At 46.2% G+C, this 17,365-nt stretch overlaps 1 long non-coding RNA gene and 8 other non-coding genes across 9 annotated transcripts in view, besides 1 other annotated feature; all 9 read left to right on the top strand.

Annotated features, from left to right (window-relative positions):
- Positions 1-17,365, top strand: part of LOC107985342 (uncharacterized) — a 46,575-nt gene that overhangs the window by 23,027 nt on the left and 6,183 nt on the right. The window lies entirely within an intron of this gene.
- Positions 894-966, top strand: MIR1323 (microRNA 1323). Its single transcript, NR_031568.1, has one exon. It is a non-coding gene; the product is annotated as a microRNA 1323 (primary transcript).
- MIR498 (microRNA 498) lies at positions 3,123-3,246 on the top strand. The gene has a single exon (NR_030182.1). It is a non-coding gene; the product is annotated as a microRNA 498 (primary transcript).
- MIR520E (microRNA 520e) lies at positions 4,637-4,723 on the top strand. Its single transcript, NR_030183.1, has one exon. It is a non-coding gene; the product is annotated as a microRNA 520e (primary transcript).
- Positions 6,621-7,121: an enhancer, noted in NCBI's record as "H3K27ac hESC enhancer chr19:54180949-54181449 (GRCh37/hg19 assembly coordinates)". NCBI's record gives its function as "activates a minimal SCP1, AML or CMV promoter by ChIP-STARR-seq in primed H9 embryonic stem cells {active_cell/tissue: H9 hESC(primed)}" and the evidence as "EXISTENCE:reporter gene assay evidence [ECO:0000049][PMID:30033119]".
- MIR515-1 (microRNA 515-1) lies at positions 7,929-8,011 on the top strand. Its single transcript, NR_030184.1, has one exon. It is a non-coding gene; the product is annotated as a microRNA 515-1 (primary transcript).
- Positions 8,866-8,949, top strand: MIR519E (microRNA 519e). The gene has a single exon (NR_030185.1). It is a non-coding gene; the product is annotated as a microRNA 519e (primary transcript).
- On the top strand, positions 11,085-11,171 carry MIR520F (microRNA 520f). Its single transcript, NR_030186.1, has one exon. It is a non-coding gene; the product is annotated as a microRNA 520f (primary transcript).
- MIR515-2 (microRNA 515-2) lies at positions 13,935-14,017 on the top strand. The gene has a single exon (NR_030187.1). It is a non-coding gene; the product is annotated as a microRNA 515-2 (primary transcript).
- MIR519C (microRNA 519c) lies at positions 15,395-15,481 on the top strand. The gene has a single exon (NR_030188.1). It is a non-coding gene; the product is annotated as a microRNA 519c (primary transcript).

The following is a 17,365-nucleotide window of genomic DNA, read 5'->3' on the forward strand; positions in this document are numbered from 1 at the left end:
AGGAGAATGGCATGAACCCAGGAGGCGGAGCTTGTAGTGAGCCGAGATCGTGCCACTGCACTTCACCCTGGGCGACAGAGCGAGACTCTGTCTCAAAAAAAAAAAGGACAGGTATTAGGATAGTTTTGAAGCCCACTTGCTCCTATCATGGCATTGAAGCATCAGTTTGCTGCCAATCACTCCTTCTTCTGTGTTCATAGACAGGACTGTGGAAATGTACACTTGGATTCTTTCACAGGTAATGCTGAGAAATTTAAAACCAAAAACGGCCGGGTGCCGTGGCTCCTGCCTGTAATTCTAGCACTTTGGGAGGCTGAGGCGGGCGGATCACAAGGTCAGGAGTTCGAGAGCAGCCTGGCCAATATGGTGAAACCCCATCTCCACTAAAAATACAAAAATTAGCCTGGCATAGTGGCGGGCCCCTGAAGTCCCAGCTACTCAGGAGACTGAGTAGACGAGGAGAATGGCTTGAACATGGGGTGCAGAGGTTGCAGTGAGCTGAGATCGCACCGCTGCACTCCAGCCTGGGCAACAAGAGTGAAACTCTGTCTCAAAAAAAAAAAAAAATTTGAAATTAAAGTGTATGATTAGAGTGCATGATTGGTTCTGACTGGATGTGTAACATGTGCATAGCCTTCTCATAAATCAAAGGTTTTTATGTGAAACCTACCACTAGTGATGTAACTGAATTTGTGTAAATGCTGGTGTGTCTGCCTTTTCCTAGCAACTCCCTGGGCAGCCTGAGGATTCTTTGAGGTTATTTTTTTTCAAGATCTGGCTGGGAGCTTCTGCATGAGTGCTGTGTGAACGTCCTCCATCTGCAGTGTGAGGACAGCGAACCCTAGTGTGAGTTAACCACGTAGGAAGAGTTTGAAGTCAGACATGACATTCAGACTGAGGTCCTCAAAACTGAGGGGCATTTTCTGTGGTTTGAAAGGAAAGTGCACCCAGTTTTGGGGATGTCAATTGTGAATCCTCATCATAACCCATCCCCAGTCCCCCATCGCATTGCACCACATGGATGCACCCAGTGGACTGGCCTTTGCTTTTCTATTGTTTCTTTTTCTCTCCACTGCAATCAGCTTTCTCACGTTGAATGCATTCCATTTTCTAAGCGCTCTCCTAGGCAAAAATCCCTCTAATGCAAAGCAAAAATGTCTGTTATGCAACATTGTTCTGAGACCCCAGGAATTGCAGTTAACTTGGCTCCTTAGTATGTGCTTCCTAAGGCGGGTGGGGTGGCTCGCGCCTGTAGTCCCAGCACTTTGGGAGGCAGGCGAGGCACTTGAAACCCTGTCTCTACTAAAAATACAAAAATTAGCTGGACATGGTGGCATGTGCCTGTAATCCCAGCTACTTGGGAGGTGCAGACAGGAGCATCGCTTGAACCCAGGAGGCAGAGGTTGCAGTGAGCCAAGATAATGGCACTGTACTGCAACCTGGGTGACAGAGCGAGACTCAAAAAAAAAAAAAAGTGCTTCCTGTGAAGGTTTCCTTTCCCTTCTGCCCCCCATACCAGTCCATCTATTTAGTAGATGTCCTGGTTTCTACCCAGGATATCATGGACCAGGGGTTCTGTCTTCCAGCCTTGAGTACAATGGTGCGACTATAGCTCACTGCAGTCTCAACCTCCTGGGCTCAAGTGATCATCCTGCCTCAGCCTCCAAGTAGCTGGTATTACAGATGCACGTGCCCCCATTCCCAGAGGTTCTTAAATTTATGACAAAAACCCAGAAGCTTGGCTGAAGCAGCTTGTTGGGGCCCACCCACAGATTTTGTTTGGTGCCATAGACCTGGGTTGGGATCTGGGGAGCCATTTTTCTTAGTCTCAATGTAAATGTCTAAGCATTTTCTTTTTTTCTTTCTTTTTTTTTTTTTGAGACAGGGTTTCGCTCTTGTTGCCTAAACTGGAGTGCAGTGGCACAATCTCGGCTCACTGCAACCTCTGCCTCCTGGGTTCAAGTGATTCTCCTGCCTCAGCCTCCCAAGTAGCTGGGATTACAGGTGTGCACCACCATGCCCGGCTAATTTTTTTTTATTTTTTTATTTTTTTTATTTTTTGAGATGGAGTCTTGCTCTGTTGCCCAGGCTGGAGTGCAGTGGTGTGATCTCGGATCACTGCAAGCTCCGCCTCCTTGATTCATGCCATTCTCCTGCCTCAGCCTCCCGACTAGCTGGGACTACAGGTGCCCGCCACCACGCCCAGCTAATTTTTTTGTATTTTTAGTAGAGACGGGGTTTCACTGTGTTAGCCAGGGTGGTCTCGGTCTCCTGATCTCGTGATCTGCCTGCCTCGGCCTCCCAAAGTGCTGGGATTACAGGCTTGAGTCACTGCCCCTGGCCAATTTTTTGTATTTTTAGTAGAAATGGAGTTTCACCATGTTTCCTGCCTATCTCTCTATGTATTTAGACAGGGTCTCACTATGTTGCCCAGGTTGGTCTCAAACTCCTGGACTCAAGCAATCCTCCTGCCTCCACCTTCCAAAGTGCTGGGACTACAGGCTTGAGCCATCCTGCCTGACCATTTGAGAGTTTTTTTTTTTTGAGATGGAGTCTCTCTCTGTCACCCATGCTGTAGTGCAGTAGTGTGATCTTGCCTCACTGCGACCTCTGCCTCCCGGGTTCAAGCAATTCTCCTGCCTCAGCATCCCCAGTAGCTGGGATTACAGGCGCCCGCCACTACACCCAGCTAATTTTTGTATTTTTAGTAGAGACAGGGTTTCACCATGTTGGCCAGGCTGGTCTCGAACTCCTGACCTCAGGTGGTCTGCCCACCTCCGCCTCGCAAAGTGCTGGGATAAGAGGCGTGAGCCACCGTGCCTGTCTTCAACAATGATTTCTAATTGCATTTTATGGTGGTGATTGAACATAATGTACTTTGGTCCTTCTCCATTGTATGCCTCGTGTATTATGTGTCTCATAACGTCTGTCCCGTCCTATGCTATGTGTGCATTTGAATGTTGGGGAGGGTTCAGTAGATGTCCATTGAGTTGGTTTGCAAACTTATTTGAAACTTCTACTTACTTCTGCCTAATTCTGCTTATTATTGAGAGTGGACTGCTCTGGGATGCCTTTTGTTTGCACTCTGATTTCAGATGGACCCTGAGAATGCTCAAGCCCCAAACCCTCCTTGGGAAGTGAAGCTCAGGCTGTGATTTCAAGCCAGGGGGCGTTTTTCTATAACTGGATGAAAAGCACCTCCAGAGCTTGAAGCTCACAGTTTGAGAGCAATCGTCTAAGGAAGTTGATGGCAATGTTAATAGTTTTTTAAACAAGCATGAAATCAGATTCCTGTGTTTACTTCTGGATGCTGTTGATCCAGGAAATGTACTTAGAAAATTCATTTTAACGGAAATAGTCATAAGCGTCTTGGTAATTTCATGAAGCTACAGTGAGTAAATTGCCTGAGAATTTCCCTGCCTGAAAGGTCTTCAGGAGTGTAATTTTTTTTTAATATAGCTTATTTAATACAAATAGAGATGCGGTCTCACTCTTGCCTAGACTGGTGTGCAGTGTCATGTTCACAGCTCACTGCAGCCTCTCAACCTCCGGGGCTCAAGCATCCTCCTGCCTCAGCCTCCCAAAGTGCTGGAATTACAGGTGTCAGCCACCACTCCCTACTCATACTTGTATATTTCTCTTTAAATTCTGTTGAGGTTTTATGGCCTAGCCTGTGGTCTATCCTGGAGAATATTTGTGTGCATGACAATGTGTATATATATATATATATATATATTTTTTTTTTTTTTTCTTTTTTTTGAGATGGAGTTTCACTCTTGTTGCCCTAGCTGGAGTACAGTGGCATGAATCTCAGCTCACTGCAACCTCCGCCTCCCGGGTTCAAGCGATTTTCCTGCCTCAGCCTCCCGAGTAGCCGGGATTACCCTCCACCACACCCGGCTAATTTTTGTATTTTTAGTAGAGGTGGGGTTTCGCCATATTGACCAAGGTGGTCTTGAACTCCTGACCTCAGGAGTCCCGCCTCGGCCTCTCAAAGTGCTGAGATTACAGGCGTGAGCTACCCTGCCCAGGCTGACCATGTATATTCCTAATTTTTGTACTTTTTTTTTTTTGAGACGGAGATTCACTCTTGTGGCCCAAGCTGGAGTGCAATGGCATGATCTCGGCTCACTGCAACCTCTGCCTCCTGGGTTCAAGCAATTCTCCTGCCTCGGCCTCCCGAGTAGCTGGGATTACAGGTGTGCACCACCACGCCTGACTGACAATATATATTCTTAAACAGCTCAGATTCCATTTTGGATCCTCCCATCAGGACTGGAACTTAGGTGTACTGGAACTTAGGTGAACACTTGGCTCAAAATTCATTGCTGTTCTCTATAAATCTAGCCAGTTCTCTTGGTTAAATTTAAGGTATGTATAGTAGTCGCTGCTTTTTCTTTCGGGGGACAAAACTCAGGAGGATTGCTTCTTGATTCATAAGGGCAACCTGTTGAGATTTTCACGCAAGGAACCCGAGATGTTCATTTAATGGGCTTATAATTTGGGATTCCAGAACACATGCAAACAGGGCAAATGAATGTTTGGCTGTATCTTTATTTTTGTGTTCATTTCAGCCTGGTCAAGGTTTTAGAATCCAAGGAAACCAATAAACACCCAGAGTGCTGGAGCAAGACTGTCTCCTGCTGTGACCCTCAAGATGGAAGCAGTTTCTGTTGTCTGAAAGGAAAGAAAGTGCTTCCTTTTTGAGGGTTACTGTTTGAGAAAAGCAACCTTGAGGTTGATGCTGATGTTTGTAACACACCTGCAGAGTATACTTATAATCAGACTTGGGTGATGTGAGGTTTTGTTTTTACTCCAAGATGAGGGTCTCCACCCAGGCTGGAATGCAGTTGCCCTTCCAACCTAGAACTCCTGGGATGAACTGGTCCTCTATGCCTCAGCCTGCCGAGTAGCTGGGACTATAATATAGGGGTGTGCCGCCATATTTGGTAGATTTTTCAATTTTTTGTAGAGATGGGGCCTCACCCTGGCCAGGATGGTCTCAACTCCTGAGCTCAAGCAATCCTACAGGTGTGAGCCACCGTGCCCATTTTAAAGATAGTTGACATGATCAAGCATAGTGGGACACACAGCCCCAGCTACTGCAGAGGCTGGGGTGGGAGAGTCTCTTGATTTCAATGCTATACCGTGCACTAATGACACCTTTGAATAGCCACTGCACTCCAGCCTGGGCCAACATAGCAAGATCCCATCTCTTAAAAAAAAATACATTACATGGCACCTGGTTCCAGAGACACCATTTGTGTTGGTCAAACAATGGCCTCCTATAAATTTAGTTTAATGAATCCAAACCATGTTTCCTTCATTAAGAGAGTAAATAAGCCTCCAAGTCTATCCAGTCTTTTTGAGACAGAGCTTGGCTCTTGTCACTCAGGCTAGAGTGCAATGGTGCAATCTCAGCTCACTGCAACCTCTGCCTCCTGAGTTCAAGGAGTTCTCTCACCTCAGCCTCCCAAGTAGCTAGAATGACAGGCGCCTGCCACCATGACCAGCTAATTTTTGTGTTTTTACTAGAGATGGGGTTTCACCATGTCGGTCAGGCTGGTCTCGAACTCCTGACCTCCGTGATCCACCCACCTCAGCCTCCCAAAGTGCCGGGATTACAGACGAGAGCCACCACGCCCGGCCTGTCCAGTCTTGTTCTGCAGTCCCCAATGGGGATTTTTTTTTTCCTGTTCATTTGTCTTTTTATTTTAATCTACTTGTCCCTGACACTGAAAATTTTTCCTTCCTAACAGCTTACCATCATTTCTCAGAATAGACCTGCTTCCTCTGTGAGAAGCTTATAGTTGATTCAACCCTCAACCACTAATGCCAACAACCCTAGTGAGTTCTTTTGACTACAGCTGGACCATTTATCCTGTTTCCTGTGGGTAGCGGTTCCAATGTACCATTCCAACAGGCAAAACCTCGCCTCTGAATACAGGTTGCTTGGCAAGATCTAAAATGTTTGCTGTGCCTAATATAAACTATTGTAAAGAAAATCCATCTCAATCACAGTGACAAATGTCACATGAGACAAAACCACAGATATTTTCGCAAAAATAGGGTCCTTTAGAACCCTAGAAGGGTCTCTCTAGTAACAGGTGGGATGTTCAGCAGCTCTTGTTGTTGCCACAGTGAGCGATGCCTGTTCGTCCAGCCCTTAACACCTCTTACTCCATGGAAGTTCTGCCTGCACTGCTTTATAGAACACCTCTTGGGTTGAGGTAGAGTTGGAGGGGACCTCAGTGTCCCTTGCTGATGGGATGTGCACTGCTTAGCAAGCGCACGGAGGTGGAGTGCATGGGCTCTGAGTTTTTATTGGGTAAATGCAGCCGAAATGTAGTGTGCATGAACAGGTCAAAAAATTGCACATTTGATTTAATTTTTAAATTTTAGAGATGGGGGTCTCACTGTGTCACCCAGACTAAACTGGGCTGTGCTCCTATGCGTACCCTAGTAGCTGGGACTTCAGGTGAATATTAACCCATGCATAGGCAAGGAGAGAGGAAGGCTCTGACAGTCTGTGATCTCCCCTCACTGCAACCTCCACCCTCTGGACTGGGAACGTCAGGGCACTGCACCGATGCAGGCAGGATGAGCCGAGGGGAAAGGAGAGCCAGGCATCACTGGCTGGGGACATTTTGGGTTTGATCTGGATGGAGCAGGTGTCTCCTGGAGAGAGAGCCCCTGGGATTTTCACTCTGCTCCCTGGCTGTCTTAGTCATGGAATCTGACAACAGAGACTCCTGCCCAGGGCCACTTCATTTGGTTTCTGGACCCCAGTGGTCCTTCCTGCCTGGACTTAGGATCTTTTGGGGAAGTTTGGGATCTGGCAGGGCATCTGCATAATCCATAGAAATCCCTGAGAGTCACTTCCCTTGGCTGACATCTCCATGTTCCTACCCATTACCTTCCAAAGGAGACCCTTAACTGAATTACCAAAGGGGGCTTCCCAGAGCAGGGAAACCCGGTTAACTTTCTATTTCAGGTCAACAGTATACTTGAGATGTACTTGAACTAGAAATGATTGGTTGTTTAGGTGTGGGCATTTGTTTTTCCTAACTTAGTCTCCAAGAAAAAAAATTATTGAGGTTTTACAGCCTAGCCTGTGGTCTATCCTGAAGAATGTTCGTGTGTGTGACAATGTACATTCTTTTTTTCCCCCCAGCTCTGTCAAATCTTACTGAGGAGCTTTTACGGCCTAGCCTGTGGTCTGTCCTGGAGGGTATTTGTGTGTACAACAATGTATATTCTTAAACATTATCTTAGATTCCATTTTGGATGTTCCCATCAGGACTGTGTGTTTCTGTGCTGGAACTCAAGTGAACACTGGCTCAACATCCTTAGAAATCCAGCCCAATTCTCTTGGTTAAAGATAAGGTATGTGTGGTAGGCATTGCTTTTTCTCTTTGGGGACAAAACTCAGGAGGATTGCCCCTTGATGAACAAGGCTAACCTGCTAAGCCTTTGAAGCAAGGAACTGGAGATGGTCCTTTCAGGGGTTTATGTTCTGGATTCCATAAAACATGCAAACAGGGGCAATGAATGCACCTTTTTTATTTTTATTTTTATTTTTTTTTGAGATGGAGTCTTACTCTTGCCAGTCTGGAGTGCAGTGGCACGATCTCGGCTCACTGCAACTTCTGCCTCCTGGTTCAAGTAATTCCCCTGCCTCAGCCTCCCGAGTAGCTGGGACTACAGGTACATGCCACCACAGGCGGCAAATGGTTGTATTTTTAGTAGAGACGGAGTTTCACCATGTTGGCCAGGATGGTCGTGGTCTCTTGACCAGCCTCCCAAAGTGTTGGGATTCCAGGCGTGAGCCACCGCGCCTGGCCAATGAATGCATCTTTATTTTTGTGTTCATTTTAATCTGGTAAGGTAAATTCCAACAAAAAACCCAGAGTTTTGGAGTGAGAAGATCTCATGCAGTCATTCTCCAAAAGAAAGCACTTTCTGTTGTCTGAAAGCAGAGTGCCTTCTTTTGGAGCGTTACTGTTTGAGAAAAACCACGTTGAAGTTGATGCTGATCTTGGTAACACATTTGCAGAGCGTGCTTATCATCAGACTTGCATGATGTTGGGGTTCTGTTTTTGTTTAGTTTTTTTGCAACACAGGGTCTCTTGCCCAGGCTGGAGTGCGGTGACACTTCCAACCTAGACCTCTTGGGCTCAGTTGGTCCCTGCCCCCACCCCCTCCCCCTTTTTTTTCTCTTGAGACAGTCTCTCTCTGTGGCCCAGGCTGGAGTGCAGTGGTATGTTCTCTGCTCACTGCAACCTCTGCCTCCCGAGTAGCTGGTATTACAGGCACATGCCACCACGCCTGGCTAATTTTTGTATTTTTAGCAGAGACGGAGTTTCATCATGATGGCCAGATTAGTCTTGAACTCCTGACCTTAGGTGATCCACCTGCCTCGGCCTCGCAAAGTGCTGGGATTACAGGCATGAGCCACTGTGCCTGGCCCACAACGTATATTCTTAAATATCATCTTAGATTCCATTTTGGTTGCTCCCATCGGGACTGTGTGTCCCTGTGCTGGAACTCAAGTGAACACATGGCTCAAAATCCATTGCTGTTCTCTAGAAATCCAGCCCAATTCTCTTGGTTAAATATAAGGTATGTGTGGTAGGCTTTGCTTTTTCTCTTTGGAGACAATACTCAGGAGGGTTGCCCCTTCGTGAACAAGGCTAACCTGCTGAGCCTTTGAAGCAAGGAACTGGAGATGGTCCTTTTAGGGGTTTATGTTCTGGATTCCAGAAAACATGCAAACAGGGACAATGAATGCATCTTTATTTTTGTGTCCATTTTAACCTGGTAAGGAAAATTCCAACAAAAACCCAGAGTTTTGGAGCGAGAAGATCTCATGCAGTCATTCTCCAAAAGGGAGCACTTTCTGTTTGAAAGAAAACAAAGTGCCTCCTTTTAGAGTGTTACTGTTTGAGAAAAACCACGTTGAAGTTGATGCTGATCTTGGTAACGCATTTGCAGAGCGTGCTTATCATCAGACTTGCATGATGTTGGGGTTCTGTTTTTGTTTAGTTTTTTTGCAACACAGGGTTTCTGTTGCCCGGGCAGGAGTGCGGTGGCGCTTCCAACCTAGACCTCTTAGGCTAGTTGGTCCCCCCTACTTTTTTTGTTGTTTTTGTTCTTGAGACAGAGTCTCACTATGTGGGCCAGGCGGGCAGGCAGTGACACATTCTCTGCTCACTGCAACCTCGGCCTCCCAAGTAGCTGGTATTATAGGCACGTGCCACCACGCCTGGCTAATTTTTGTATTTTTAGCAGAGATGGAGTTTCACCACATTGGCCAGGTTAGTCTTGAACTCCTGACCTCAGGTGATCTGCCCGCCTCTGCTTTCCAAAGTGGTGGGATTACAGGCATGAGCCACCCTGCTCGGACTGCAGGGTGTTTTTTTTTTTTTTTTTAATTATTATTTGTATTTTTTTGTGCTGCCAAAGCAAGCACTTGTGTGTAGGAATTTTGTTTGTTTGTTTGTTTGTTTGTTTGAGATGGAGTCTCATTCTTGTCGCCCAGGCTGGAGTGCAGTGGCATGATCTCGGCTCACTGCAACCTACGCCTTCCGGGTTCAAGCGATTCTCCTGCCTCAGCCTCCTGAGTAGCTGGGATTTCAGGTGCATGCCGCCACCCCGGCTAATTTTTGTCCTTTTGGTAGAATCGGGGTTTTGCCATGTTGGTCCGGCTGGTCTCAAACTCCTGACCTCAACTAATCCACCTGCCTCGGCCTCCCAAACTGCTGGGATTACAGGCATGAGCCACCGCACCCGGTGAGGAGTTATTTTTAATGTGAGCAAACAGTATATTCTTTTTTTTTTTTTTCATAGACAGGGTCTCAACAATATATGATGTATATTTAATCATATAGTCTTATCATGTATATAATGTAGTCATATGTACACCAAACCCTGTTCTACACACGGAGAATACTCTTGTATCACTTTGGGTATTTATTTACTTGTTTCTTTCTGTGTTTTTCTTGTTTGTTTGTTTGTTTTGTTTTGAGACAAGGTCTAGCTTTATCACCCAGGCTGGAGTGCAGTGGTGCCATGTCGACTTACTGCAACCTCCACCTGCCACCTCAGCCTCCTGAGTACTTGTCTACAGGTGCGCACCACCACACCCAGCTAACTTTTCTATTTTTTGTGCATAAGGTTTCACCATATTACCCATGCTGGTTGAGCTCGAACTCCTGAGCTCAAGTGATCCTCCTGCCTTGCCCTCTTTAAGTGCTGGGTTTATTGGTGTGAGCCACCACGCCCCACCCATACTTGTGTATTTCTGTATTTATTGAGGAGCTTATACAGCATACCCTGTGGTCTATCCTGCAGGATGTTTGTGTGTGAGACAGTGTATATTCTTGAACATAGTAGATTCCATTTTGGATGCTCCCATCGGGACTGTGTGTCCCTGTGCTGGAACTCGAGTGAACACTTGGCTCAAAATCCATTGCTGTTCTCTAGAAATCCAGCTCAATTCTCATGGTTAAATATAAGGTATATGTGGTAGGCATTGCTTTTTCTCTTTGGGGACAGAACTCAGGAGGATTGCCCCTTGATGAACAAGGCTAACCTGCTGATTCTTTGAAGCAAAGGACTGGAGATGGTCCTTTTAGGGGTTTATGTTCTGGATTCCAGAAAACATGCAAACAGGGCCAATAAATGCATCTTTTTGTTTTGTTTTGTTTTGTTTTTGAGATGGAGTCTCGTTCTGTCACCCAGGCTGGAGTGCAGTGGCACAATCTTGGCTCACTGCAAGCTCAGCCTCCTGGGTTCACGCCATTCTCCTGCCTCAGCTTTCCAAGTAGCTGGGGCTACAGGTGCCCACCACCACGCTAGGCTAATTTTTTGTATTTTTAGTAGAGGCGGGGTTTCACCCTGTTAGCCAGGATGGTCTTGATCTCCTGACCTCGTGATCTGCCCGCCTCGGCCTCCCAAAGTGCTGGGATTACAGGCATGAGCCACTGCGCCCGGCCCCAATAAATGCATCTTTATTTTTGTGTCCATTTAAACCTGGTCAAGGAAGATTCCCACAAAAAATCCACGGTGCTGGAGCAAGAGGATCTCAGGCTGTGACCCTCTAAAGGGAAGCGCTTTCTGTGGTCAGAAAGAAAAGCAAGTGCTTCCTTTTAGAGGGTTACCGTTTGGGAAAAGCAATGTTGAAGTTGATGCTGATCTTGGTAAAATATTTGCAGAGCGTGCTTATCATCAGACTTGGATGATGGTGGGGTTTTGCTTTTGTTTTGTTGTATTCCAAGACAAGGTCCCTGTTGCCCAGGCTGGAGTGCGGTGACACTTCAACCTACATTTCTTGGGCTCCGGTCGTTTTTGTTTGTTTGTTTGTTTGTTTGACAGGGAGTCTCACTGTGTGTCTCAGCAATGCAGTGGCACTATCTTGGCTCACTGAAACCTCAGCCTCCTGAGTAGCTGGGATCACAGGTGCGTGCAACCACGCCCATCTAATTTTTGTATTTTTTGCATTTTCAGTAGAGACGGGGTTTCACCGTGTTAGCCAGGATGGTCTCGATCTTCTAACCTCGTGATCCGCCCGCCTCGGCCTCCCAAAGTGCTGGGATTATAGGCGTGAGCCACCGCGCCCGGCCGAGAAACTAATCTTTTGAGATGAACTCTGAGATGTGGATTTTAGCTTGTTTGCAGCCACCACCACTCTAGTTTTGGAAGATTTTCATCACCCCGAAGAGGCTTATACTCATTTGCAGTCAGTACCCACCCACCTCTTCCACCCAGACCGTGGCAACGACTCCCCATCTCTCTAGCTCTGGATCTGCCTCTTGTAGGCCGGTCACGTAGACCAATCTTGTATGGGTGTCCAGTTGAGGATAATGGGTTGGTCCTGGTTGTCTGCAATGTGAATCTTACCACTGAAGGGTGGTCCCTGGAGGGAAGCAGGAGGCTGGGAGAACTGGGCGGAACATCCTTTGGGAATGGAGTGGGGCGGGCAGACCCTGATGTCTGGGAAGCTCACAAGGGTGGAAGACCCCATCTTCCTCCCTGAGAACTGCAAGGTGACCCTCCTGGGGCACTGGAAGGAGTGAAGGCCTCTGGGCTGGGAACGTCAGGGCACTGCACCGATGCAGGCAGGATGAGCCGAGGGGAAAGGAGAAGCAGGCATCATTCTCTGGGGACATTTTGGGTTTGATCTGGATGGAGCAGGTGTCTTCTGGGAGAGAGAGCCCCTGGGATTTTCACTCTGCTCCCTGGCTGTCTTAGTCATGGAATCTGACAACAGAGACTCCTGCCCAGGGCCACTTCATTTGGTTTCTGGAGCCCAGTGGTCCTTCCTGCCTGGACTTGGGATCTTTTGGGGAAGTTTGGGATCTGGCTGGGCGTCTGCATAATCCATAGAAATCCCTGAGAGTCACTTCCCTTGGCTGACATCTCCATGTTCCTTACCCATTACCTTCCAAAGGAGACCCTTATCTGAATTACCAAAGGGGGCTTCCCAGAGCAGGGAAACCTGGTTAAATTTGTATTTCAGATTAACAGTATACTTGAGATGTACTTGAAGTAGAAATGATTGGCTGTGGGTGTCGGCATTTGTTTTTTCTAATTTTAAATATGGGACCATCATGAATTTGGGTGTCACTTTGTGCAGGGGACGTGGGAATCGCTGTCATTTTTTTTTTTTTTTAACATATGCTGCCAGAGAAGGCACTTAGGTGGAGAAATTACTCTTCGTGTGAGCATTCAGTATATAGAACTTCCTTTTCTGGGGGCAGTGTCTTATATATGATACACATTTTATCATATCATCTTCTATAGATAATATAATGATTAACACAAAACACTCTTCTACACACACAGAATACTCTTGTATCACTTTGGGTTTTTTTTCCTTCGTGTGTGTGTGTGTGTGTGTGTGTGTGTGTGTGTGTGTGTGTTATGAGACAAGGTCTGGCTCTGTCACCCAGGCTGCAGTGCAGTGTTGCAGTCTTGGCCCATGCCCCACCGCAGCCTCTGGAATAGCTGTCTGCAGGCCAGGCACGGTAGCTCAGGCATGTCGTCTCAGCACTCTTGGAGACCAAAGCAGGCTAATCACCTGGAGTCAGGAGTTTGAGACCAGCCTGGCCAAGATGGTGAAACCTCATTTCTACTAAAAGTACAAAAATTAGCCGGGCGCGGTGGCTCACGCCTGTAATCCCAGCTCTTAGGGAGGCAGAGGCAGGAGGATAGCTTGAGCCCAGGAGTTTGAGACCTGCCTGGGCAATACAGTGAGACCCTGTTCTCCACAAAAAGAAAAGAAAAAAAAGAAAAAAAAATTTTAAAAATGCAAAATTAGGTGGGCATCGTGGCACGTGCCTGTAATCCCAGGTACCCCAGAGGCTGAGACAGGAGAATTGCTGGAAACCTGGAGGCAGAGCTTGCAGTGAGCTGAGATCACGGCCCTGCACTACAGCCTGGGCAACAAAGTGAGACTTGTTTCAAAAAAAAAAAAAAAATTTATTGAGGAGCTTTTATGGCCTAGCCTGTGTTCTATCCTGGAGAATGTGTGTACAACAGTGTATATTCTTAAACATCATCTTAGATTCCATTTTGGATGCTTGCATGGGGACTGTGTGTCCCTGTACTGGGACTTATGTGAACACTTGGCTTCAAATCCATTGCTGTTCTCTAGAAATCCAGCCCAATTCTCATGGTTAAATATAAGGTATGTGTGGTAGGCATTGCTTTTTCTCTTTGGGGACAGAACTCAGGAGGATTGTCTCTTGATGAACAAGGCTAACCTGCTGAGCCTTTGAAGCAAGGAACTGGAGATGGTCCTTTTAGGGGTTTATATTCTGGATTCCAGAAAACATGCAGAGAGAGTCAATAAATGTATCTTTATTTTTGTGTCCATTTTAACCAGGTGAGGAAAATTCCGTCAAAAAACCCAGACTTTTGGAGCGAGAAGATCTCATGCAGTCATTCTCCAAAAGAAAGCACTTTCTGTTGTCTGAAAGCAGAGTGCCTTCTTTTGGAGCGTTACTGTTTGAGAAAAACCACGTTGAAGTTGATGCTGATCTTGGTAACACATTTGCAGAGCGTGCTTATCATCAGACTTGCATGATGTTGGGGTTCTGTTTTTGTTTAGTTGTTTTGCATCATGGGGTCTCTGTTGCCCAGGCTGGAGTGCGGTGGCGCTTCCAACCTAGATCTCTTGGGCTCAAGTGGTCCCGTGCTTGCTTTTTTTTTTTTTCTTGAAACAGAGTCTCTGTCTCTGGCCCAGGCTTGAGCGCAGTGGCATGTTATCTGCTCACTGCAACCTCTCCTCCCAAGTAGATGGGATTACAGGTGCACGTGCCACGACGCCTGGCTAATATTTGCATTTTTAGCAGAGATGCAGTTTCATCATGATGGCCAGGTTAGTCTCCAACTCCTGACCTCAGGTGATCCGCCTGCCTCAGCCTCCCAAAATGCTGAGATTATAGGTGTAAGCCACCCAGCCTAGCCTCCAATTTTTTTTAATGTGTGCTGCCAATGCAAGCACATATGTGTAGGAATTATTTTTCATGTGAGCACATAGTATATGGAACTTAATTTTTATTGATGTACGGTCTCAAAAATATATATTTTATCATATTCTTATTATACATGTAACATAGTCATATACACACAAAACACTCTTCTATACACAGAGAATACTCTCGTATCACTTTGGGTAATTTTTTGTTTGTGTGTGTATGTTTTTGTTTTTTTTTTAGATAAGGTCTGGGTCTGTCACCCAGGCTAGAGTGCAGTGGTGCCATCTCAGCTTATTGCAACCTCCACCTGCCACTTCAGCCTCTTGAGTAGCTGTCTACAGGCGCACACCACCACGCCCGGCTAACTTTTCTGTTTTCTCTACACATGAGGTATCACCATGTTGCCCAGGCTGGTCTCAAACTCTTGAACTCAAGTGATACTCCTGCCTCAGCCTCCTAAAGGGCTGGGTTTAGAGGTGTGAGCCACCACACCTCACCTGTACCTGTGTGTTTCTGCTCATTTTATTGAGGAGCTTTTACAGCCTGGCCTGTGGTCTCTCCTGGAGGGTGTTTGTGTGTGTGACAATGCATATTCTTCAACATCGTAGATTCCATTTTGGATGCCCCCGTCGGGACTGTGTGTCACTGTACTGGAACTCGAGTGAACACTTAGCTCAAAATCTATTGCTGTTCTCTAGAATCCAGCCCAATTCTCATGGTTAAATATAAGGTATGTATAGTCGGCATTGCTTTTTGAAACAAGGAACTGGAGATGGCCCTGATAGGGGTTTATGTTCTGGATTCCAGAAATCATGCAAACAGGGCCAATAAATGCATCTTTATTTTTGTGTCCATTTTAACCTGGTCAAGGAAAATTCCAACAAAAAATCAATGGTGCTGGAGCAAGAAGATCTCAGCCTGTGACCCTCTAGAGGGAAGCGCTTTCTGTTGTCTGAAAGAAAAGAAAGTGCATCTTTTTAGAGGATTACAGTTTGAGAAAAGCAACGTTAACGTTCATGCTGATCTCGGCAATACATTTGCAGAGCGTGCTTATCATCAGACTTGGATGAGGGTGGGCTTTTGTTCCTGGTTTGTTTGTTTTCTAAGACGGGGTCTCTTTTGCCCAGGCTGGAGAGCAGTGGCACTTCCAACCTAGCTCTCTTGGGCTCAGGTGGTCCTCTTTGCAGGGTCACGATCTCTGCTCACTACAATCTCCCCTTCCCGGGTTGAAGTGGTTCTCCCATCTCAGTCTCCTGTGTTGCTGGGAGTACAGGCCCATGCCACCACGCCCGGCTAATTTTTGTATTTTTAGCAGAGATGGGGTTTCACCGTGTTGACCAGGATGGTCTCCATCTCCTGACCTCGTAATCCACCTGCCTCGGCCTCCCAAAGTGCTGGGTTTACAGTCATGAACCACTGCACCCGGCCTTTGATCTTAATTTTCAATATGAGACCCATCATGAATTTGGGCATCACCTCTGCACAGGGGCCATGGTGATCTCTGTCACTCCATTCATTTCTTATGTGTGGAGCAAACATTTATGTGTAGGAGTAATTCTTTATGTGAGCATACAGTATATGGAACTTTCTTTTTTTTTGAGATAGGGTCTGGAAAATAAATGATGTACAGCCAGGCGCATGAGTATATGAGCAGTTTTTGTGTGTATACGACATGAGCGGTGGCTCATGCCTGCAATATCAACACTTTGGCAGGTTGAGGCGAGTGGATCACTTGAGGTCAGGAGTTTGAGACCAGCCTGACCAACATGGTGAAACCCTGTCTCTACTAAAAATACAAAAAATTAGCCAGCTATGGTGGCGCACGCCTGTATTCCCATCTGCTGGGGAAGTTGAGGGAGGAGAATCACTTGAACGGACAGATGGAGGTTGCAGTGAGCCAAGATCACGCCACCACACTCCAGCCTGGGCGAGAGAATAAGACTGTCTCAAAAAAAAAATATATATATACATATATATTTATATAGAGAGAGAGACTCTGTCTCAAAAAAAAAAATATATATATGGGTGTGTTTGTGTGTATATATATATTATATATGATGTATATTTCATCATATAGCCATATATATAATTATATACACAAAAAATACTCTTCTACACACAGAGATGACTGATATCACTTTGGGGTGGTTTTTGCTTGTGTGTTCTTTTAAATTTTTTTTTGCAACAAGATCTGGCTCAGTCGCCCAGGTTGGAGTGCAGTGTTTCAGTCTTGGCTCACTGCAACCTTCGCCTCCCACCCCAGCCTCCTGAATTAGTGTCTACAGGCATGTACCACCACACCTGGCCTACATTTGTATTTTTTTACAGACAGGGTTTCACCGTGTTGTACACGCTGGTCTTGAGCTCCTGAGCTCAAGTGAATCTCCTGCCTTGGCCTCCTGATGTGCTGGGATTAGAGGTATGAGCCACCACACCCAACTGGTACTTGTGTATTCCTGTTCAAATTTTATTGAGGAGCTTTTACCACCTAGCCTGTGGTCTATCCTGGAGGATGTTTGTGTGTGCGACAATGTATATAGTTCAACATCTTAGATCACATTTTGGATGTTTCCAATGGGACTGTGTGTCTCCGCACTGGAACTCAAATGAACACTTGGCTCAGAATCCATTTGCTGTTCTCTGGAAATCCAGTCCAATTCTCTTGGTTAAGTATAAGGTATGTCTAGTAGGCATTGCTTTTTCTGTTTGAGAACAAAACTCGGGAGGATTGTCCCTTGATGAACAAGGCTAACCTGCTGAGCCTTTGAAGCAAGGAACTGGAGATGGTCCTTTTCAGGCGTTTTATTCTGGATTCCAGAAAACATGCAAACAGGGCCACTAAATGCATCTTTATTTTTCTGTCCATTTAAACCTGGTCAAAG

The sequence above is a fragment of the Homo sapiens genome, chromosome 19 (assembly GCF_000001405.40).
Source record: "Homo sapiens chromosome 19, GRCh38.p14 Primary Assembly".
Lineage (NCBI taxonomy): Eukaryota > Metazoa > Chordata > Mammalia > Primates > Hominidae > Homo > Homo sapiens.